At 39.6% G+C, this 24,266-nt stretch overlaps 1 protein-coding gene across 6 annotated transcripts in view, besides 1 other annotated feature; it reads left to right on the top strand.

Moving 5' to 3' along the window:
- The window catches only part of AAGAB (alpha and gamma adaptin binding protein), a 54,532-nt gene extending 33,998 nt beyond the window's left edge, over nucleotides 1–20,534 (top strand). For 3 of the 6 annotated variants that reach the window (NM_001271885.2, NM_024666.5, NM_001271886.2), the window contains exons 6-10: nucleotides 11,657–11,739; nucleotides 12,543–12,639; nucleotides 17,053–17,157; nucleotides 17,604–17,653; nucleotides 18,303–20,534. In NM_001271885.2, the coding sequence (NP_001258814.1) occupies nucleotides 11,657–11,739; nucleotides 12,543–12,639; nucleotides 17,053–17,157; nucleotides 17,604–17,653; nucleotides 18,303–18,380 (413 nt within the window). In that variant the 3' untranslated portion in view covers nucleotides 18,381–20,534. Of the gene's footprint in view, nucleotides 1–11,656; nucleotides 11,740–12,542; nucleotides 12,640–17,052; nucleotides 17,158–17,603; nucleotides 17,654–18,302 lie in introns of those variants that run through there. The other 3 variants (XR_007064489.1, XM_024450053.2, XM_024450052.2) reach the window with 3 other exon arrangements.
- Nucleotides 22,386–22,515: an enhancer, noted in NCBI's record as "active region_9626". NCBI's record gives its function as "activates an Ori minimal core promoter by ATAC-STARR-seq in GM12878 lymphoblastoid cells {active_cell/tissue: GM12878}" and the evidence as "EXISTENCE:reporter gene assay evidence [ECO:0000049][PMID:35858748]".

The following is a 24,266-nucleotide window of genomic DNA, read 5'->3' as shown; positions in this document are numbered from 1 at the left end:
CTCCCTAGGAGGTGAAGAAAGTTCCAACAGAATTGGGAAAGGTTTACCTCAGGGAGACTGAAATGACCAAGGGGATGGGAAGAATGGGAATTGTCTAATATAATAAATAAGTGTGGACAAACCAGAGCTGAGAAGAGATTTAGCTGGAATCTGTATTACAGGGTATGTATAAGGCAGATATGGACCTGATTTCCCAAATTCCAGATTGCTATAACTCAGAGACATTCCCTAAATCTTAAAATGGTTTTACCATTTACAAATAAAATGAAGGCCTTACTGAACAGAGCAGGCAGTAATCTATGGAGTACTTTATATTAAGAGATGATCTAGGCAAAAAGTAGATATGATTCAAAAAGCCTACAGTGAATTCTCATTAATGACAGTTGTACCTAATTCAAGTTGAGAAGTACTTGGCCTAAACTTTTGAGTCTGTTATTTTGAAAAGCAATCATGTTTTTCTTCCCAGTATTTATCTATATAATATTTTTACTAGGTCCTCTACTAGTTAGGTTCACCCAGATTACATGTTCTTGTGTTTTATGAAACTTAATAAGGAGCATTATTTTGTTTGGCATGATAGTGTATGTGATTAGCCTGATGAAAGCATTTAGAACATAGAATCTCCATGCATGCATCTGGTTTGGCTTCTTCCTTTTACAGGTGGGGAAAAACAGGACCCAAAGAGGAAGAGTAACATGCTCATATTCACACAGTGAGTTTGTAGCCAACGTGAGACCACATGATAGGTCTCCTGATTAAGACTGTTATATGTTTTTCCATGACAGTGTGTTGGTTTATATTACTGGGCAGTTGGAGAAATGAGCACAGAGTGTTAATTTACCTAAGTTGCATGGGAAATCACTGGCCAAGCCAGATGAGTTCATTGGCTACAGAACTCCCTTAGCCTAGGTGCTCTCTGACGTGAGTAAGATTTTAATGAGACTGTGTGGAAATGATGATGATAGCTGAGATTTTGGGCTTTCTGGCTTATTTCTTTTAAATAGATCTTTTTAAATAATTTAGATCATCTGGAATGATGGAGATGCTTTATCCCACGGTCTTTGCACTTAACAAAGTACAGCTAAGGATAGATAGTTAATTTAAAACTCGTGCATTCCTTATAAATGAAAGATAATTTATATTTATTTTTAATTATTTTCCTTGGAGTCACAACAGGTTATTATTCTCTTCGGTTTGAATTTTAATTCTTATTTGTAAGAATAGTAGGTGCTGTTAATGTCTTTTTGTTACTTAATATCAGATTTAAGGCAAACAGGTTAAATTACAGTACTATAACTATAGTATAGGCAAATTATTATTCTAGAAAGAGATTTTTAAATTTTCCTGATAGATATAACTTCTATATTAACTTAGAACTTAGTTTTATATCCTTGGCTCCACCAGTGTCTTGTTTCATTAAGCCAAAGTGTGCATTTAAAAAAATTTTTATTTTTATTTTAGAATTGGGGGTACATGTACAGGAAGTCTAATTATTCCATTGCCCCATAGATCGTTTTTCAATCCTTGCCCCCCTCCCTCCCACTTTGAAGTCTCAGTGTCTACTGTTCCAATCTTTTTGTCCATGTGCACTCAGTGTTTAGCTCCCACTTGTGAGAACATATCGTGTTTGGTTTTCTGTTCCTGCCTTAATTCACTTAGGATAATGGCCTCCAGCTGCACCCATGCTGCTGTAAAGGACATGATTTTGTTCTTTTTTATGGCTGTGTAGTATTCCATGGTGTACATGTACCATGTTTTCTTTGTCTAATCCACCGTTGATAGGCACCTGGGTTGATTCCCCATCTTTGCTATTGTGAATGGTGCAAAGCATGCAGAAGAAACAGGGACATTATTGCTCCAAAGGGGTGAACATTAATTCTTGAGGGGCAAAAAATCTTTACTCTTTTTATCTATAAGGCACAAATAAATGTGCAATACATAAACACATATACAGTGTATCTGTAGTATTAATATTTCAGTGGGATGGTGTGTCAAAATTAGGGGGAAAATGTCTTAAAAGGTTCCTGGTGGGGCGGCTGTACTGAAAATGGTTGAGAAACACTGAGCTGAAGGATCTGGTTGCATGTGCTAAGCTCTACCCTAGAGGAAATTCCCAGATACCATTGGATTCATTGTGATGGTCAAACTTCTAGGGAAGTCACAGTTTCCGCTATGCATTAAAGGTACGACTTCTCATGGGCCAGGAAATGAAGTGGTTAGGACTGCCTTTACATTTGGGTGGCGCTTTTTAGATATCTCCAGTCATAGAAATTTTCCTTGTCTATACCGTCTTTTCTTAAATTTCCTTAACCTCAAAGTTTGGCTGTAGCTCAAGGAAAGGGATGTAGATAAAACCTCAGCTGCTTAGTTGAGTTACCCACAGTCCTATCAGAGTCTGGTTTGTGGCTGTGGAAATCATCCATTTGGATGTGTCATTTATAATTTGATAATGTCCCTTTATTGTCATCATGAAAGGAGAAACTGGGTCAATGCTTTTTGCCAAATGTGACAAATTTTGAAAGTTGATTGCTCCTGCCACACCTCCTCTTTGGTCTCCAGTGAGATTGTCTTCTCTTTCAATTTGTCTGGTACATCAAATAACCTAATTGCAAGCCTAGATGATCTAGGCATCATACTCAGGACTGTGCCTTAAATTGAGAGGCACTGGGTAAGTAAGAGTTGGTTTTAAGGGCAAGGAAAAGAAGATGGTAAGTAGAAGCCTGATGAGTTGTTTTTTGTTTGTTTGTTTGTTTGTTTGTTTCAGGCTAGGTTGTCACTGTTTCACATGAGAAGGTAGTATTATGTACAGTGACCTTGTTTAAAGTGTCAGTTTAATGTTACCACTAAGGCCCTGCCCCAGCTTTATCACCTGAGCACTAACAAGTGCTGTGTGGAGTTCAGTCCATGCTGGTAACTCTTGAGTATTCAGTGGGTCTTTTAACAATTACCACCGTGGAGGAGAGAGCAAGGAAGAGAAATGCTGTGATCTTTTACTGTTTTTAATTAGTGAAAGAGGGATTAGATTAAACAAATGTTACAGAGTTGTGACTTTGATCCCCCAGTGGTAAGCAATAATTGTAGAGACTGGATTTCAAAAGCCCTGAGAGTTTATTTTCAATCTATCTATTATAGTTCAATCCCCAGTAATGCAGATGGAGGAGGATTAGTGGAATCTTAATAGTAGAAACAATAATTCTTTCTGTTGTAGTTTTCTGTTTTCCCATTATAAATGTAAAGAATTGATCATTTATTAACATGTATCCCCCTTGTTACTTGTAACAGGATTCCATGGCAGAAATCTCAGATTCCAATTCAAGGAATCATTTGCACCTGCTGTACAGAGCAGTGGCTAAGAAATGTGTACCTGCTGGGTGTGGTGGCTCACACCTGTGATTCCAGCATGTTGGGAGGCCAAGGCGGGTGGATCACGAGGTCAGGAGTTCGAGACCAGCCTGGCCAACATGGTGAAACCCCATCTCTACTAAAAATACAAAAATTAGCTGGGCGTGGTGGTGGGCACCTGTAGTCCCAGCTACTCAGGAGGCTGAGGCAAGAGAATTGCTTGAACCCGGGAGGCGGAGGTTGCAGTGAGCCAAGATCACAGCACTGCACTCCAGCCTGGTGATAGAGCGAGACTCCATTTCAAAAAAATAAAAAAAGAAATGTGTACCTAAACACAAGGTCTATCTGTGATACTTGGGCTGCTCTCCTGAGAAAGCAGATGGCTAATGCCTTAAATAAAATTGTTTTTCTAAACTAAATGATGATTAAATACAAATTTGACTCTAATGTTACAGAAAATAAAACAATATCAAATTTGTTAGAGGAGAATCGTTAATGAAGACAGTTCTAATCAGGTCTGTCTTTACCCGTGTTCTCTTGGAAAATGGCTTCATGTTTCTGGACCCCAGTTTCCTAACCTCTAGGATGGGTAGAACTCTAGGATAATGTAGAATTATATTAACATTACTTTCTATGAAATTGAGTTCCTTGAGTCAGACTTACTTGCTTCTCTTTTTAACCCAGGACCTAATATTGTAGAGCCAAAAAAATGGATACTCTGACAGTTGTCTAAATGTGAATGTTGTGGTCAAAAATTAAATAAATATGTGTTGATCTCTATCTGTGTGTGTGGGTGTATGTGTGTATAGAAGGCATAATTTGATGGAGGAGATTGTCTTGTAAGAGAAAAAGGGGAAGAGGAAAAAAATAAGGAATAAGAGTATGAGAAAAATGATGAGACTTTGTTTTAAAAGTTCACCCTTAAAATTAACTGTAAGCAAATGAATCATGGGAAATCTCTTCAAATTAGTTACCCTGGAGGCACTGCTCTTCTGCCATCTTGCCATCTTGAAAAAACTTTTTTAGTACTTTCTTTGGAATTATTTTTAGACCTGGGTATGAACCACTTAAGTCATCTTTATTTTTTTTTTTCATGGTAAAGTCTTGTACTGGTTCTGAACGATTTTTGATTTGATTCTGAACATTCCTTTTAGGATTTTCAAGAGTGTGCTTAAGGTTCTGGAGATAGGACTTTACAATGGAACTATTATTGGAATTAGAATAAAGCTTTCCTTTACAACATTGGAGAGGATAGCACTCACTCTGATGTTTAGTTCAGTTTATTAAGAATTTGTGTGTATGTGTGCATAGGGAAAAAAAAAAACAACAACTAGGAAGACAAAATACCAGAGTATTGATTCGTATCTTTGGTGATTTAATTTTCTTCTTGTTTTTTTTTTTTTTTTTTTTTTTTTTCAAGAGTGAGTCTTGCTCTGTCACCCAGGCTGGAGTACAGTGGCATGATCTTGGCTCACTGCAACCTCCACCTCCCGGGTTCAAGCAGTTCTCCTGCGTCAGCCTCCCCAGTAGCTGGGACTACAGGCACACGCCACCACGCCCAGCTAATTTTTGTATTTTTAGTAGAGACGGGGTTTTACCACGTTGGCCACGCTGGTTTCGAGCTCTTGGCCTCGTGATCCTCCTGCCTCGGCCTCCCAAAGTGCTGGGATTACAGGTGTGAGCCACCGTGCCTGGCCTAATTTTCTTCTTTATACTTTTCTCTTTTTTCCAAATTTTCTACAATGAATATATTATTTATAATCAAGAAAAAGAGAAAAAATAGTATTATTATTTTCTGGTCATGTTCATTATATGTTCAAATATTAGTAGAAACCATTCTTGATATGTGAGCAGGTGTCCCAGGTGTCAAGGGAGAGCAGATTCACTTTCCTGAATCTAAAGCCAGGTGGTAGAACCAGGTACGGTGCTTAGGCCTGTTTCTTTAATAAGTACTATTTTTAATAATGGATTTCAAAGTTTGCCCTTTTCAAGCAGTTTAGTGAAAAAGAATAAATTGATTCTCGTAATTATTTTGTGATTTCAAAAAACATTTTATTTCAGTTTGCCAAGAAGTGGATTGTAATATCAAAGTGTAAGTTTATTTCTCTGATGCTAGTGAAATCATTTCTTTCTTAAAAGAATTTTTTATTCAAACAGTGTGGTTTGATTTAAGAATATCATTCAAAAATAGGTACAACTTCTCTATGCAAATTGAAGTATCTTAGTTTTAGTAAGTTTGGTCATGCTTATTACTCAGATGGAAAAGAACATGTTTATAATACAGGAAAAACATTTTGTGCAGGGAAGGGGATGTAAAGAAAACTTTAAATATGGAAAAAACTTCTTAAGATGATGCCAAATAATTGCTACATTAAGGAAATAAAAACTGAAATATGAACACAGAAAATATCTAGGAGGTCTGTTAGGCGTGTTGGGGGGTGTGGTCATGGAAATTCTTAATATTTGAGTCGTATATAAAAATGTAAAATAAAAACTTATTTACATAGCTAATGCTTGCAGCCTCTGCCTGACAGTTCTATTAGACATTCAGCGGATATTTCAGCATCTCTCCTGTATACTTAGCACTATGCTGGAGGCTGTGCGGTGTAGAAGAACCATTAGCGATTGTCCATGTCTGCAAGGAGTTTATAGTATAGTTGAGGATGGCATTTTGACTCGAGATGAGTATTAATACTAGCATGTTCTCTGAAGGGCCACTTGAATAGTAAGGACAACAAGGACAAATGGCACACAGGCAGAGGTAATTAGGGGCTGAAATCATCTAGAGAAGTTTCTCAGAATATGAGGGAGGATATTTTCACTGCCGACAAGAGAGAATGATTGAGTCTTTTTAATGCTTTTTTTCCTTTTTTTTTTCATTGAAAATCTTTGTTATAGTCCTTACTTAAAAGTAAGGACTGCCGGGTGCCGTGGCTCACACCTGTAATCCCAGCACTTTGGGAGGCCAAGGCGGGCAGATCACGAGGTCAGGAGATTGAGACCATCCTGGCTAACACGGTGAAACCCCATCTCCACTAAAAATACACAAAATTAGCCAGGCGCGGTGGCGGACGCCTGGAGTCCCAGCTACTCAGGAGGCTGAGGCAGGAGAACGGCCTGAACCCGGGAGGCGGAGCTTGCAGTGAGCCGAGATCGCGCCACTGCACTCCAGCCTGGGTGACAGAGCGAGACTCCGTCTCAAAAAAAAAAAAAGTAAGGACTTAAAAACCTGAGGATTTTAGCCAGAATTTTCCTGTTCTAATTAGACCTATGTCAGTGGTTCTCAATTGGAAGTGATTTTGCCCCCCAGGGGACATTTGGCAGTCTTATAGGCATCTGGTGGATAGAGGCAGGGGATGCACAGGACACCCCTCTTTCCCACCTACCCACACACCAAAGAATTCTCCAGCTGGAAATGTCAATAATACTGAGATTCAAAACCCCTGGTCTACATGTGCTTGAGGAACAGTGAAGAGATAATGGAGCCTAGCCACCTGTCTACCATTTGTTTTATGTGACCAATGCCTCAAGGAGTTATAGGGCTGGGCTGTGAACAGTTAGTAAGTGGCATATGATTAATTATTCAGTCCTGAGTTATTCAGCGTACTTCAGTGAAAATCACAGTCTAAACCAGGGACTTAATAAAGGATTACTGACAAAAGAGAACTATATATGAATGAAACATCATCTTTTTGTACTTGACCCAAGTTTGTGTCATATCCAGTAAGCCAGTAGTTGTGCATCAAAACATTGTCCATGTCTCAACTCTTTACATGTTATCAAGACCTCTGGCCTTAATGGAAAGAGTATAGACTTTAGAATCAGAGAGTCCTAGATTTCAAGTTCTGGTTCCAGCTATGTGACTTTGGATAAGTTACCTAATCTCTCTCAGTTATAGTTTGTTCTGTAAAAGAGAATAATAAAATAAATCTTCTGTAAAAGAGGATAATACAATAAAGAAGATATATGTTTATTTCTATTGTGTGTAGAAGGCATACTTTGATTGTTGTGAGGATTAAAGAAACATTGTAAGTACCTAAAATATTACCTTGCACATATTTAGCACTTAGTAAATGTTATCTATTACTAACCCTTAGGAAAATTTTGCAAGGTAAATATTGTTATACCTACTGCGTAAATGTAGAAACTGAGGTACAGAGAAGGCATAGCTTGTATAAAACCACACAGTAAATAGTAGAAGTAGGATTCATATCCATGCCTTATTTCCAAATTCATATGCTTGTCATATTGCCTGGTAAATAATGGAGAAGGGAAAAAATCAGAAAAAAGGAAAAAAATACTTTTTAAAAAGCAACTTTTCCCCTTCCCCCATACTGAAATTTCCCTCTTTGCCTAGGTTTTGAATTCTCTAAATGTTTCATGTAAGTCAAAATTGCTATGAGAGATGCATTTTATGCTTCTAAAGTTAAGTGTGCCCTCAGATTTGTAAAGAGGTGGCAAATAATTTCATATATTTCAAGTTTTTTTAACTTCTTATTGTTAAAAAAAATCATCCCAAGGCTTAAGAATTTCCAATTTAAAATCTTTATTCTAGAGGCTATAGTTTTGTTTCTGACACTTTCTGGAAGAATCTATGCTAATGACCAGCACCGCCAGATTTTTTCATGATATTTTCATTTTTATCCATGCATCCACTGGTGTCAACTTACTAGAGTACTAAAACTGAATCAGATGTTTTTAGGACCACAGTTTAACATACTAATTGTGCCTTCCAGAATAATTTATTTTACATCACTTAACAGCTGCCCCTTTCTGCATCCCTGAAGTTCCATAAGAATCAGCTGAGGAGGTGAATTTTATTTATTCTTTCCTAGTCTAGAGTTTTGTGGCATCAATAAAACCATAGATGCTAGAGCCAGTTTCAGCAACTACCTGCTAAAGGCATAAATCCTTCTTAATAGGGATGACATTTCCATGCCCTGAATCCTGGGGAGAAAAATCTAGCAAGCACGAAAAGATTTATGTAATTCTTTTCTATGAGAAGAATAGTTGTACAGTGAGTGCATGTGGATGGAATTTTAATAAACATTGAACCAGGCAGAACAGAATTTTTTTAAAAGCCATAGGTATATAAAATATCATCTAAGTTTTTTGAGCAATGTTAATATGCGAGCAGTCTACTTTGGGTAAACAAAAATGAATTGTTTTTCTCGTTGTGTCAATTTGTATGTTTCTAAGTTCCTTAAAATATAAGCAGCGGAACATAATGAACTCTCTTGTTAGTTGACTAAATTCTTCATTGTTTATAATATGAGCAAAAGTCCTTCTGGCTTATTATAATTAGCCTGAAACCTGATTGTAAACTCTTAGTCAATTGTGAACCTGATTAATTTGTCTAAGGTCATACAGGTAGGCAGAGCCAGGAATGAAAGACAAGTTTTCTGACCACTAGTTCAGTTTTCTTCCTACTATTTTGACTTTTTCATAATTTTATCCATTCTAATTGGGGCATTAATTTTTTTTTCAAAGTTTTAATTGCGATACACAGCATAAAATTATTAAATTTCAAAAAATCTCTTCGAATAGGTAAATAATACATGAACATGTAACAAAAATTAAAGGTTTACAGTATACAGTGATGAGTCTAGCTCCTACTCCTAACTCCCGTCCCTCCCAGTTCTCTTTGCAGGCAGCCACTGTAAAGAATTAAGCATTTCGGCCGGGTGCCGTAGCTCACGCCTATAATCCCAGCACTTTGGAAGGCCAAGGCGGGCGCATCACGAGGTCAGGAGATCGAGACCATCCTGGCTAACACGGTGAAACCCCGTCTCCAATAAAAATACAAAAAAAATTAGTCGGGCGTGGTGGCGGGCGCCTGTAGTCCCGGCTACTCGGGAGGCTGAGGCAGGAGAATGGTGTGAACCCAGGAGGCGGAGCTTGCAGTGAGCCGAGATCGCACCACTGCACTCCAGCCTGGGCGAAAGAGTGAGACTCTGTCTCAAAAAAAAAAAAGAATTAGGCATTTCAAATAGACTGCTTTGGTTTCATAACATGCATAAACTGACATTGTATTGCATTATTCTTTGAGTTGCACTCTGGCCTGCCAAGTTTAGGGGACGCCTAACAGAGGAAAAATATAAGCTGTGGAATTAGAATATGGAGAGATTTATGAACTGAATTTGAAAATTACCCAAGGTCCAAGTTATTTCCAGTAATAGAAGTGAGGGCTCTCTTGCAGAAGTAGTTTATTACTCAGATATTGCCTTTTGTACAAATAGCTTAAAGTATATTATAAGAGCACTCATGTATCTTAATGACAGGTAAAATCCGTGTCTGAGTATTACATAACTACATACAGCTACTTTAAAATCAATAACACATTGGCCAAAAGAAAGAACCATGCTGATGTTTGAATAAACATACTTAGCCTCTGAAACTGTCATCGTAGGACACTGCATGGATCTGCTTCTCTCGGGCCTCTGAGCCTCCATGTCCTACCCTGCTGAAACTTTGGTCCCCTGTCTTTGGATTGGGCACCTAGGCCTTTGGATGAGGAGATAAGGGGGGCTCCAGGAGTACACATGAACCTCTGACCATGCTGCCACTGTTGAGGTTGTACAGAATGAAAAGCAGTAGGGCAGCAGCAGCCTCTTAGTTTTGCCCAGACCAAGGTAGCCTTTAATGCAGAGGTACTGGGTTGATAGCTACATATGACTGCCTCCGTGGCGAGAGTCAGGCTCCAGAAATCTGCAGGCTACAGCCTAGCAGGCCACATTTGAGGCTTCATCCCAGTTTAAAAGGCAGATCTTCCCAAGTGAAAGGAAGAAGGAAGGACACTGCGAAGTTTCTCTCTTTTGATATCTCTGTATGACCAGGTATCTGGCAGGGGAAAGGGTATAGGGAATTTATAGGTAGTTTAGAGAAAGAGAGATGCGAGTAGGTCAGGGAAGAGATAGAGAGGAAAGGCAAGGTGGGAGAAAGTTGTCTTTTTGAGAGAGAAAGTCTTTGACTTCTGTACTGTTACTCTTGGGTTACAGTCTCATGTTCTACTCTAAGGCAGTGTTTTTCGAACTACTGTGTTCATAAGACCCTCCTGGAGCACTTGCTAAAAGTTGAGATTCCATGATCTCTGTCCTAAAGATGCTGACTCAGTGAATCTCAGATAGCGTCCTTGAATACTAGGATAGTTTTAATAAAGTGTTCCAGGTCATTCTGGGGAACACTGCTGGATCAAGGCTGGCCCTTATACTTTGAACAGTGCTAGATGTTTTGCTCCAGATTTGTCCTCCGTTGTAAATACAAACAGCATACTGGGAGTCTTAACTGTAGATGCTTCATTCATATCTGAATTAGAGTTTTTTTCTTTTCTTTTTTTTTTTTTTGAGACGGAGCCTCACACTGTTGCCTAGCCTGGAGTGCAGTGGTGCGATCTCAGATCACTGCAACCTCTGCCTCCTGGGTTCAAGCGATTCTCCTGCCTCAGCCTCCCGAGTAGCTGAGATTACAGGTGCCCACCACCATGCCTGGCTAATTTTTTGTAATTTTAGTAGAGACAAGGCTTCACCATGTTGATCAGGCTGGTCTTGAACTCCTGACCTTGTGATCCGCCGGCCTCGGCCTCCCAAAGTGCTGGGATTACAGGCGTGAGCCACCGCTCCCAGCCCTAGAACTTTTTTCAAAAAGCATTCATATTCCTTTTCACCTGAGTGCCTTCACCTGATATGAATGCCTTGGTGTTGATTTTTTAAATGTTTTTGATTATTTAAAACAATGGAATATTAGTTCATAGTGGCTATGAAAGCATTAGTGCTGTTAATCTTTGCAAATAGAACCACTGGCCTTTTGTTTGTCATAATGGCCCTGCTATTATTTTCCACCTGGACTAATAGTCTGTGATTTTTTTAAAAAATGTACTTAAAAAAAATGTATTCAGGGCCAGGGGTGTGGCTCAGGCCTGTAATCCTGGCAGTTTCGGGGGCTGATTCAGGAGATGGCTTGAGGCCAGGAGTTCAAGACCAGCCTGGGCAACATAGTGAGACCCTGTCTCTACAAAAAACAAGAAATAATTTTAAAAAAAAATAGCCAGGCACAGTGGCAGGCACCTGTATTCCCACCTACTCAGGAGGCTGAGGAAGGAGGATCACTTGAGCCCAGGACTTCAAGGTTGCACTGAGCTGTGATTGTGCCACTGCACTCTAGCCTGGGCTACAGAGTGAGACCCTGTCTCAAAAATATATATATATGTAGTTAGAACTTTGGTAACAAATAAGTAGCCTTTGTTTCATCATCATAGCCATTTGAACAGTTTAAAATGTAAATGACAAATTTCACTAAGTGTATTTTTCCTTTTCAGATAGGAACCAAGGCTTTAGCCTTCTCAACTCATTGACTGGAACAAACCATAGCATTGGGTCAGCAGATCCCTGTCACCCAGAGGTAAAGGTTTTTCTTGGATCTTTTTTCCCTCTTTGGCTTTAATTTCTCCTTGTCATTATGAATCTTGACACATTCACCATTGTTTTCCTTTCCATTTAAAAGGTGACAGAGAATGTTAAAAATAGATGAAAGGAAGGTCTAAAACAGCCCTTGCTAAAGCAGTAAGCCCTTTCAAGATGTTTACAGCTTTGGTTTTATTTTTACTAGGGTGCTTTCTAAAATATGCTAGGATTTCCCTGAGGCATTAATTTGCCTTCAGATCTTTAAATAGAAAATAAAATTCATGGTGCTTTTTTAGTACTTCCTGTGTAAAAGACCTTGGCAAATCTGAGGCAAGGTCCCTGTCCTCAATGAGCTTGTAGTCCAGTTTCAACCCTGCATCCTTAAGAACTTTGTTCCAGGTTTACCTTGGTCAGCAGCTGGAGCCAAGAGCAAATTATACAGTGCCACATTGTCTTTCCAGGGATCTTTTTCAACAGCCTCTGAGCTATTTGTGTTACGATTGTGTTACATTTTCACATTTTGAATATAACATGGATCTTAAATGAGACAAACAAAAAACATGTTTTAGTAGTCTAAAGCAAAATCAACGCTTTCTAGTTCTTCCTTGGGGGAAAGTACTTCTGGGTTAGTTAAGTTTTAGCCTTTTATTTTTTTAATGTGATCTTGCTCTTCTTTCTTTGCCTCCAGTTCCTATTACTCTTTTCTCAAGCCAACCAAGGACTGAAAGTGTGAGCTTTTTTGGATTTAGTTCTGAAATAGACTACGATTAAATTGTTGCTTATGTGTATTTTCCTCAACAGCAACCCCATTTGCCAGCAGCAGATAGTACTGAATCCCTCTCTGATCATCGGGGTGGTGCATCTAACACAACAGATGCCCAGGTTGATAGCATTGTGGGTAAGTTCCTCCTTTGGCTGCCAAGAGAGAGCTTTGTGCAACTTGGAATAGGTATCTGGGCAGAAATTGTTGAGGGGGAAATTGACTTTAAACACAGAGAAGGGAAAAAAATTGGTAGTATACCACACATGAATGTGAGCCTTGCCAGTGGCTATCAGAAAAAGGAAGAAGAATAAATATATAACAAATATGTGGGTACCATTTTCTCTTTAATTCTCCTAGCAGGATCTTGATTCAGATAATCTTAGCCAAGGCAGACCGAACCAGGTGGCGAAACAGCTAGCTCTGTATCACGTAGTTTTTTCATAATATTTAACAGAAGTCAGAATCGATGGTGACAAGAATAATACAACTTTATATTTATAAGCCCTTCCATATGCTTTTAAAGTTATTTTATATCCCCTTTCTCATTTGGTAATGAAGTTTTGCAGAGAAGTTTAATAACTTGTCCAAGGACATCTAGCAAGAAGGGCCTGGAGCTGAAGCTGGAATCCAGTATGCTGTCCAAAAGCCAGAAAACCAAGGAGCTTACTTGACAATAACTATAAATCTTCTTTCGCTGGGGAACTACTGATATTCCTACTTTATCTTTATGCTACAGACGGCTCATGTGCAGTAATAAATTTTTAAAACTCTTTTTTCTTATGAGATAATTCATGTAGAAAACTCAAGTGATTGGTTATAGAAACATATGAAGAAGAAGAAAAAATTATGTATAATTTTTTTTCTTTCCAGTTTATTCATCCTTAGCCTCTCAATTGAATCCTTCCCATTGGCTTTTAAACCTGCCAGAGTCTCTGCCATTAAAACAAACTAGTAATCACACTGAAGTGGGTGGGGACTTGAAGCACTAACCTAAGTAACTTTAGAAAACAGTAATTGGACTAGATACCGTAAGGCTAAAAACAAAAATAACTGAACACAGATACTGAACTCTACTTAGTAAATTTGTTTCTTATAGGAGCATGGCTCAGCAATTCTGAAATTTTATATATAGATATTTTATACACCACACATATACTGACATATAGAAAATAAAAAATATAGATAGTGAGAGTTAGGTTTCTCACTGCCAGAGGAAAAAGGTTACAAATAAGGAAAAGGGAAGGCCAAGATGTACCCTTTGGTACTGGATTGGAATCTAATGTATCAGTATGAACTCATGGCTTTAAAAATATACTTACAGTTAAGAAAATAAATACAGATGTGTGTGTATATGCGTGTATTAGTATACACACATATATTTCCTAGTTCTGTCCACTGAGAGGCCTAGAAGCAACAATACCACCATAGCAGTGGACACACTTAGCACTCAGATCTTGCTTTCTTTTTGTGTGTGTGTGTTGTTGTGTTTTTGTTTTTGTTTTTGTTTGAGATGGAGTTTCGCTCTTGTTGCCCAGGGTGGAGTGCAGTGGCACGATCTCGGCTCACCGCAATCTCGCTTCCTGGGTTCAAGCGATTCTCCTGCCTCAGCCTCCTGAGTGGCTGGGATTACAGGCATGTGCCACCACGCCCAGCTAATTTTGTTTTGTGTTGTTTTTTAGTAGAGACGGGGTTTCTGCGTGTTGGTCAGGCTGGTCTCAAACTCCCGACCTCAGGTGATCCACCTGCCTCGACCTCCCAAAGTGCTTGGATTACAGGCGTGAGCCACTGCGCCTGGCCAGATCTTGCTTTCTAAATACCATTCTCCAATAAAAGGAACTAGGGCTCCTTGGAGAAGTGGTTGATTCCAGGACTTGGGCAAGAAAAATACAGGATGACCCTGGAGCATCTCTTGGTACCAGAAATTAAGAAAATTCTCAAAAAAGAATGGGGACATGTTGAAAGGGCATAGGGACCAACCTGAAAGAGCTTCCAGTGGCTAAATCTGGAACAATTTGACCAGCAAAGTAGATTAATATAGTATTGGGTTATAACCCATAGAGTAAGCTAAGTATCCATGAGTTCATACTAATATAAATAAATAATTGAATAAACAAATGAGAAAGAAAGGACAGCATCTCCTTCCAGAAGAATCCCAAGTAATAAATATAGAAGGAATGAGGAAAATAGAAAGCCATCATTAGGCACAAAACACAGTAATAGTTCTTGGTAGCATAGGTGAAAGTTTGAGGAGAAGTAGTATATCTGCATAGTCTAAAAGTATCTCTCTCAAGATGTTTATTTATTACAAAGGGGAAAATAGTAACTTTACACTGGAGAAACTCATCAGATGCCAGCCACTTTAATTATGTAATGAAGGTTAACATCACTGGTAATAAGACATATTGACATAATAGCCCTCCTGATAGGATGCAGTGAGAAGGTAATCTCACCAAAAATGCATAACTGCAATCTAATAATAAGAAAACAATCTGACAAACCCAATTAAGGGACATTATACAAAATAACTGACATACAAGTGTTAAAGTCGTGAAAGACTGAGGAACTGTCACAAATTGGAGAAGACTAAGGAGATTTGACAACTAAATTCCATGTAGGATCTTGGAACAGAAAAAGGATATTAGTGGAAAAACCGATGAAGTCTATGGCATGGTTAATGGCATTATACCAATATTAACTTCTTGATTTTTATAATTGTACCATGGTCATAAACGATGTTAACACTAGGGGAAAGTGGGTGAAGAGCATATAGAAACTCTGTGTACTATTTTTGCAAGTTTTTTTTTAAGAGTAAATTAAGAAAAAGATTTAAGGCAAAACCAAATCAACAAAAACCAAACATTTCCACATCTTCCTCCTTATCTCTTTACTAAACTTGTTTCCATTCCTCACCTCCCATTTGCTCCTCACCTCACTCATGTCTGTCTTTTGCCCCTGGTATGCCACTACAACAGCTCTGTGCAAAGGCCAGCAATGACCTCCATGCCGCTAAATCGGGTAGATATTTTCCAGTCCTCATCTTGACCTCGTGGCAGCATTCAGTGTTACAGATCAATTCCTCTTTGAAACATTTTCTTCCCATGCCTCACCCAACACGGTGTCGCCTGGTTTTCTTCCTACTTCTCTGATTATTCCTTCTCTTTCTTTGGTAGATACCCTTCTTTACCCAGCCTTTAAATATTGTCATTCTTCATTGCTGCATTTAAACTCTTCCAAATCTATATTTAGGCATGGAGTGATTCTGTCTACATTAACAGCTCAATTACTATGTATACACAGATAAATCACAAACTTTTATCTTCAGCCCTATATACCAACTTCCTACATGACATGTCCATTGAACGAAAGCAAATATATTAACCAAGATGCGTTTTTAACACCAAATTGTCTATATGGCATTGTGATAGATGCAAATAATTATAAGTCATCATCCTATCTTCATGGAGCTTAGTCTAAAAATATAGAGATAGGACCTATAATGTAATGGTTAAGGTCATAGTCATTGGAGTCCTGTACAGCTGGGTTCAAATCATGGCTTTATCGCTAGTAATGGCCTTACCTTGAATAAATTAACCTCTGTTGGCATTAGTTTCCTCTTCTGTAAAATAACGGTGATAAATCTTTCCTCATAGGGCTGTTGCAAAGATGCAGTGGAACCATGTAAGTTAAAGCATTCAGTGGTGCAGATCCAAAGCAAATTCTCTCTTATGGTAGTAGTACTTATTAAAGTAGTGGTGGAGAAATGTTAGAATACAAGGTAATATATGCAAGTGCTAAGACAGTTCTGGAAACAATAAGTGTAGAAAGAATTCTAAGGAAGGAGACCTGTGAAAGTGGGATGGGCAGGGAAGACATTCTAAACATAGTGGGCCTGGAGTGGAGAAGGAGTTAAAATTCTGATTAAAAACAAACTTTAATAAAGAAGCAGTGTGCCAAGGTAGAAACAGTAAAAGATTTGTAGTAAGAAAATATGAATTTAAATCAGCTCTACCTCTGAATAGCTGTAATTTTAGATGAGTTCATTTTTAGATACAGGTTTTTTTTTCATATCATTTCTGTTATTCTCAGATAATGTTATCTGTTCTAATCACCTTTTATAGTGGTTGTCGGTAATAGATGTGAAAATATTTGTTGTACAGTAAAATATGGCATAAACTTTAGTCATTATTGGTGAATCAGTGTACCTTAGTGGAGTGAGTATGCTTTCCGAGTTGGAAACACCTGCGTCTGAATCAACTTACTAGCTGTCACCTCGGCAAGTCACTTCAACTCTGAGATGTGGTTTTCTCATCTTTAAAATGGAAATAGTACTCCTTACCTCATGACGATGTTGTGAGGATAAAATAGTTACTCTTCATTTGTGAGGGCCCACTAGCAGCCAAGCAGGGTGAGCCATGAGCTGTAAAGCTGGTATACACTGGGCCTTCGATCATTGGTGACTTCATCAAGGTTAGCATTTGCCTTAGGATTCTCTGAGTGTAGCACATATGCAAATAACGTGACAGATAATGTGACAAATCCCTATTTCAGATCCCATGTTAGATCTGGATATTCAAGAATTAGCCAGTCTTACCACTGGAGGAGGAGATGTGGAGAATTTTGAAAGACTCTTTTCAAAGTTAAAGGAAATGAAAGGTAATCAGATCCATTGTGTCTAATATGTTCCCATGTTGATGCTTGTCTGTTTTACGTAGTAGCATTTTATTTTGTTAACTGCTGGATTGGATTCCTTGTTCTGGTCTCAGCTGTCTTGAGAAACTTAGCTACTCCTGGGACTTGGTAAAAAAAAAAAATTCCCTGGGGAAAATTTTTCCATCTTCGTTCTCTTTCTTTTTACTTTTCCTGCTTTTGCCTTGTTTCTTTCAATGTGTTACATAAGGTGGAAACTGTAAGATCCCTACCAATTTACTCACATCATTCCCATCTGGAAAATTTGGAAGACTTAAAAACTTCCTAATACATGTAATGACTACATCATAAACATGTCTTTGAAACCCGTCTCCCATCTTCTAGTGTTATTCATATACTCCAGGTTATCCTGTGCTATTAGACAAATTTCTTAAGATATATTTTCCCCCTAGACAAGGCTGCGACGCTTCCTCATGAGCAAAGAAAAGTGCATGCAGAAAAGGTGAGACAATCAGCCAGGTATTTATTGAATACCTATAAAAGGTCCAGTGCTATTATTATAATTATATATCACACTTGTGTATTTCTGAAGGGTCTTAGTGTGAGCTTTTCATTGAATATTAACTTCTAACTAATTAAATATTTATACAGTAATAGTATAGTTGCTGCAGTCAAACCAAGATTTTTCACCTGGATGGTGAGTGATGTGGAACCTTTATTGAGACTCAGGATGTTTGCCTTTCTAACTATTGGGCCAGAAAACTCTTAGTTGTTTTGTTTTATTATTACCAACACAACACATGCTATTGGCAGGAAACTTGTATGGTTGATGGTGTTCCCTGATATGTGTCATAATTTATCCTGTTCCCTTTTGGACATTTAGGTCATGTGCATTTTTTGCTTCTATAAATAACAAAGCTGTGCATGTCTTTACACATCATCTTTGTATACAACTCTAAATATATCCTTGGTATAAATTTCTAGATGTGGCGATCATGGGTCAAATGGTATTCAAGGGTTCTGATATGTGTTGCCAGAGGACTGGAGGGCAAAGTGCAGAATTTTAGGTCTCAGTCAGTTTAAGGTATGACATATGAAACAAGCTGAAATGTAGCTGTTGCCTAAAATTTGTTGCATGCTTCTCTCCACAGGTGGCCAAAGCATTCTGGATGGCAATCGGGGGAGACAGAGATGAAATTGAAGGCCTTTCATCTGATGAAGAGCACTGAATTATTCATACTAGGGTTTGACCAACAAAGATGCTAGCTGTCTCTGAGATACCTCTCTACTCAGCCCAGTCATATTTTGCCAAAATTGCCCTTATCATGTTGGCTGCCTGACTTGTTTATAGGGTCCCCTTAATTTTAGTTTTTAGTAGGAGGTTAAGGAGAAATCTTTTTTTTCCTCAGTATATTGTAAGAGAGTGAGGAATACAGTGATAGTAATGAGTGAGGATTTCTTAAATATACTTTTTTTTTGTTCTAGGAATGAGGGTAGGATAAATCTCAGAGGTCTGTGTGATTTACTCAAGTTGAAGACAACCTCCAGGCCATTCCTGGTCAACCTTTTAAGTAGCATTTCCAGCATTCACACTTGATACTGCACATCAGGAGTTGTGTCACCTTTCCTGGGTGATTTGGGTTTTCTCCATTCAAGGAGCTTGTAGCTCTGAGCTATGATGCTTTTATTGGGAGGAAAGGAGGCAGCTGCAGAATTGATGTGAGCTATGTGGGGCCGAAGTCTCAGCCCGCAGCTAAGTCTCTACCTAAGAAAATGCCTCTGGGCATTCTTTTGAAGTATAGTGTCTGAGCTCATGCTAGAAAGAATCAAAAAGCCAGTGTGGATTTTTAGACTGTAATAAATGAGGCAAAGGATTTCTATTCCAGTGGGAAGAAAACCTCTCTACTGAGTTGTGGGGGATATGTTGTATGTTAGAGAGAACCTTAAGGAGTCCTTGTATGGGCCATGGAGACAGTATGTGATAACATACCGTGATTTTCATGAAGAAATTCTTCTGTCTTAGAGTTCTCCCCTGCTGCTTGAGATGCCAGAGCTGTGTTGTTGCACACCTGCAAAACAAGGCACATTTCCCCCTTTCTCTTTAAAGCCAAAGAGAGATCACTGCCAAAGTGGGAGCACTAAGGGGTGGGTGGGGAAGTGAAATGTTAGGCGATGAATTCCTGAGCACCTTGTTTTTCTTCCAAGGTTCGTAGCTCCTCTCTGCCCTTCCAAGCCTGTAACCTCGGAGGACTATCTTTTGTTCTTTATCCTTTGTCTTGTTTGAGTGGGTCAGCCCCAGAGGAACTGATAAGCAAATGGCAAGTTTTTAAAGGAAGAGTGGAAAGTACTGCAAATAAAAATCCTTATTTGTTTTTGTAGACTTTGTAATGCATATCATTAGCCCTCACTGTGATCATTACTGCTGTGGCTCTGAACTGGCACATAGTACAGTGGATGGAAGGTGCCCGCACACCAGCTGAGAACTGGTTCTGGCCTAGGTGGGCTCTAGAACCATTTACACAGCATGAAAGAAACAGGTTGGGTTAGGAGCAGAAAGAAATAAGGCTCACACCCCTCCAGACACTACCTTATAAGCACTGCAGAACCTGAAACAGATGGCAGAAGGAATGGAATGCTACAGGGGCCAGCAGGAGTGACCACAGGGAGGGGACAGCTCAGTGACTGGAGCATTCAGGAAGAGGCTTTCCAGGGAACACTGGACATTGCTTAGTGACCTTTTGTTCCTTTTTTTTTTTTTTTCTTTTACTGTTCTGAAAGACTTTGAGTCTGTGGTTCACCACCAGCCCATCAGTGTTTCTTTGAGGTGATTGCATTAGGGAAGTTGGCTCTGGGATTGCAAAAAAAAAAAAAAGGTGGAACATGTTTTCCTTAAAAGATGGAAGGTTTTAGAAAATATACTAGGCCATCTGGTTAGAAAAAACAGACCAGACTAGAAAAAGCTGTGAATTTGATTTTGTAGATTAAACAAAGCCAGATGATTAAAATGTGATTTATTTATAAACTGTGCTAATGTCTATTATTATGATTTTGTGGTTTTTTATTAGGGGGTATGAGTGAGGGAAGCCCTATATCCTTCATTGGATTAGACATATATAGTGAATAGTGGAAGAGTCTGTCAAGCTCACTATTTTAGAATTTACCCTGCATATGTAATGTCATGTTTTTAAGACCTCAGCTATGCAGGGATATTGGCCTCTTCTAGGGACATATGGGATGAAGGTCTCTAGTGAAATCTACTAAAAGCCCATGTTAGAATAGTGATCATGAGCTAACACTACAGTAATAGCTGCAGTCTATCTAAAGTGACCTATGTTCATGCTACCACAAGTTGTTACAGAATTGCCAGCTGGAATTTAAAATAAGAGACTTGGTTTTTGGTTGTTTTTTCCTTAAACATTTCTTGATTTGCATAACATAGTGTTTGGCACATAGTGTTTGGCACATAGTAGGCCCTTAGTTTTGGTTGTAAAGTATGGTTTGTGTTTGATGAATATGATCACAAAGTTTGAAGGTCCATACATAAGTGCTGGAAGGTAAGGGAAGACAAGAATAAACATTTTTCCCCTGAGAAAATCATGTGTTATGTAATAATTTTAGAGTGATGAAGACATAGATATTTTTATAATTTTAAAATATGCCATCTTGCCAGAGTATGAGAAGATTGACAGAACCAGTTTGCTTGCTCTCTATTTATAGAACTTGGCCACGTCTAATTCAGAGAAGCTAGAGATTCAGGGAAGCTAGACTTAGATGGTTGAGTAATATGGGATGTGGTTCAAGGACCATAGAGCATGTTAGGCCATTCCTGCAAACTACTTCTAACACGTGAAATGTGATATATGGCTAATTTCCTGGTCCCACTGTGGAGAGGTCGGGATCAACATTTTTGCCATGGCTTGTCAGATTCATTTAACCTTGGGCCAGTCTCTTAACAATGGGCGTTGAGAGAGCATGTGGAATGCCCCTTGCCTTGCCTTGGCCTGCCATGGAAAAGCAGTCTTAGAAGAATCACTGTCTAAGGGTAAGATGAGAGCTCTGTAAACTATTCTGAGCTTCAGCGTTTGCCGATACAAAGCTAAATTTAGCAAACGTGTCCAGTGTGGTCAGAGGTTCTGATTCATTAGGGGTTCTGATTCATTGAACGTTCTGATTGATGGAGACAAGAGTTTCAGTGAATGTTCTAATGCATTAGATTTGCTCTTCACTCTCTGCTGCCCCTGTTAATTTTACAATAGACAATTTAGCTACAGCATTATGTCATTAAGTACCAAATCTTATTAGAGGACTATAGGTGGAGTAAGTGTAAAAAAATCTGGTCATGTGTACTGAACCCAGTACTATGTTAGTACAAGGTTAGTTTGAAAACAACCCCGTTAACTTTCCCATAATTTGTATGTCTCATGAAAGTAGAATGCTGACTGTGCGGCATAATTCTAGTATTTTCGATTCCACTCAGGGTTTAGTGATCCATCCTGGCATCTTTGGCATGTAAGCTCTTACAGAAAACGTCTTAGAGATCCTGTAAAGTTCATACTTTGGCATTACATATGCCTGTTGTTAACATCACAAAGCTTGCTCTTAATGTAGGTATCCTTACTCAGAATTAGGTTCTAGCATAGGAAGTATCTTGCTCTATCCTAAGTTGTTCCTCTGGTTTGCAGAAGAATTAACAAAAAAGGTAACAGCAATAGCGTATTCCCACTCTTAGGGATTTACAGTTCTACTTTGTTTCCTTTTGAAAACATTGTGATTCAAAACCTGGCCCTAATGGTTATTACTGCATCTTTGGAACACAGGCCTGGGGGTGAAAAGAAAAAAAAAAACTTTTAAAACCCCTTTCTGTGTATCCATTGTTATGCCCAAACACTTCCTCCGCACAACTACAGATCTGGGAGGCATAACCAGGCACCCCAAGCTGCTTGCTTATGCCCAGTTTACTGACTAGGAAGCCTCTTGGGTTCTCTCTAATGAAGTGTCCAATCATTGCTCCTGCCCTTGCTATTATCAGCCAGGTGGCTTTAATGCTATTACACAAAAATGTGGACTAAGGCCTAGGGTAGGAACTTTATGGAAACAACAGCATAGTTTAGGAGAGAAAAGATTCTTTTAATCTGAATTCCAAGGACATGGCCTGCAACAATCATGCTTCCCCAGGAAATTCTCAGGAAGTCATTAATGGTGAAGTTAGACGGCCTTAAATTTGTTCCTTCTACCCTGGTGAGAGCAGAAACAAGAACCCAGGGTCCAGCCAACACTGACTGTGAACGTCGTTGGTGCCAGAATCTGAGCTAGGTGTGGCAGAGGACACAGACTTGAGTCAGGATGTAGTTTCTCCTTTCCATGAGCTCAGAGTCCAACTCAGGTGGGAGCAGGGGGCAAACCAGACAAGGTCACAAAAGACAATGCCAAGACAGCATGTGAAGAGTGCTGTGACCAGCCCTAATGGCTGTGGGAAGGAGAGAACACAGTGGGTTGGGGAGAACAGGAAGTGTATCTTAGAGCAATGGTTCTCAGAAGTGAGCTATGTCACAGTCACCTGGAGGGCCCCACTCCAGAGTTGCGGCTTCAGTAGGCCTGGCGTGGGGCCTGAGAATTTGCATCTTTAACATCTGTGTGATAACCGATGCTGCTGGTTCGGTCCTGGGACCCACTTTGAGAACCGCTGACTTAGGGGAAATAATGCTGCTTGGGTCGAGCTAGAAGGATAAAGGATTGGGACAGATAGGTGAGTGGAGGCAGCAAAGTTGTTGGAGTTATGGCTTGAACAAAGGTACGGAAAGAAGAGTGAGGGGATGTGCTGGGAAAATGCAAGGAGTCCACATAGAGAAATGGTGGCAGATGAGGATGGGGTGATGCTGGAGGGGACCTTGTAGAGTCTGTGCCTACTCTGGAGGTAAGTGAGGAGCCAAAGGTTTTGAGCAGAAAAGGCATCTAACCATAATTACATTCCAGGAAAACGTGGCAGCAGTATTAGCAGTTTTTCTGTCTAACCAATTAGCTGTGTTGAGAAAGAGTCTGAGGCTGAGGATGGACCCAACCCGGTGACGAGTGGTTTTTGCCATGGATAGAAATAGAGAAGAGGGGAATTTTGCCATATATTTGCTATCCCTGGACTGCAGAGACACAGATTAGAATTTTGGAATAGCTGTGATAGCAGGTAATCAGGAACTATATTCCTTCAGTCATATATAAGGACTTGCTGTAAGCACTGTGGAAATGTATATAAAATATACTGCTAAGATAGAATTTACTAGATATGGACACTGATTCATTTACTCGGCAAAAATATGTGGTGGCCAAAAAGAAGCCAGGGATAAGAGAATAAAATGTAAACTCTGCTCTCAAGGAACTCACAGCCTAGAGAGGGGACTGTGGCAACAGAGATAGATGTTTATGAGAGGCTTCCTGGAGGAGATGTCTGAATGGAGGCACAAAGCATTAGTAAAAGTTAGCCAGGCGAACTGGTGGTGTGCTGGGGAGCAGGGGCTGGGCCAGGGAGAAGTTGATGTTCTAAGCACAAGCAGCCATGAAGACAAGGATGATCCATGAGGACTGCAAGTTGCCGGATTGTAGAGGTTAAGGCAGGGAGCAGTGAATGCTAGGTAAGGGCAAAGGAGGGCCAAATGCTCCAGGGCAAAGACCTTAGAATGTGTGCAGTGGACTAGGGGAAGCATCTATGGTCAGATTGGTTACTGGGGGCAGTATGAAGGGTGCCTTTATAGGAAAGCCATCTGGAGGCTAGGAGACCTGTTATGATGCTGGTGCAGTTGTCCAGGCACTAGAAGACCTGCAGTTTAGGGCGGTGCAAGTGGGACTAGAGCAGAGAGATTGGAGAAGCGGGACTGTGTGGAGGTGGGGAGCAGAGGACTGGTGGACTGCTGTGGCTTCTGTGGATGTAGGTTGGGTCAATGGTCATGTCTAAAACAGGGCTGAAGGCCAGAGGATGGTTTTAAGAGAAACCATGAATTCTGTTTATTTGATTGTGAGTTTGAGGTACTTGTGGCCCCTCCGTGTGCCAGCAGCCAGCAGTCAGCTGGACATGAGTCTGAAGCTCGGGATTAAAGTCTGGGCTGTAAGTACTGATTTGGGAGTCA

The sequence above is a fragment of the Homo sapiens genome, chromosome 15, assembly GCF_000001405.40.
Source record: "Homo sapiens chromosome 15, GRCh38.p14 Primary Assembly".
NCBI classification, from domain to species: domain Eukaryota; kingdom Metazoa; phylum Chordata; class Mammalia; order Primates; family Hominidae; genus Homo; species Homo sapiens.
The sequence above is the reverse complement of the archived record's forward strand: the minus strand, read 5'-3'. Positions and strand labels throughout refer to the sequence as shown.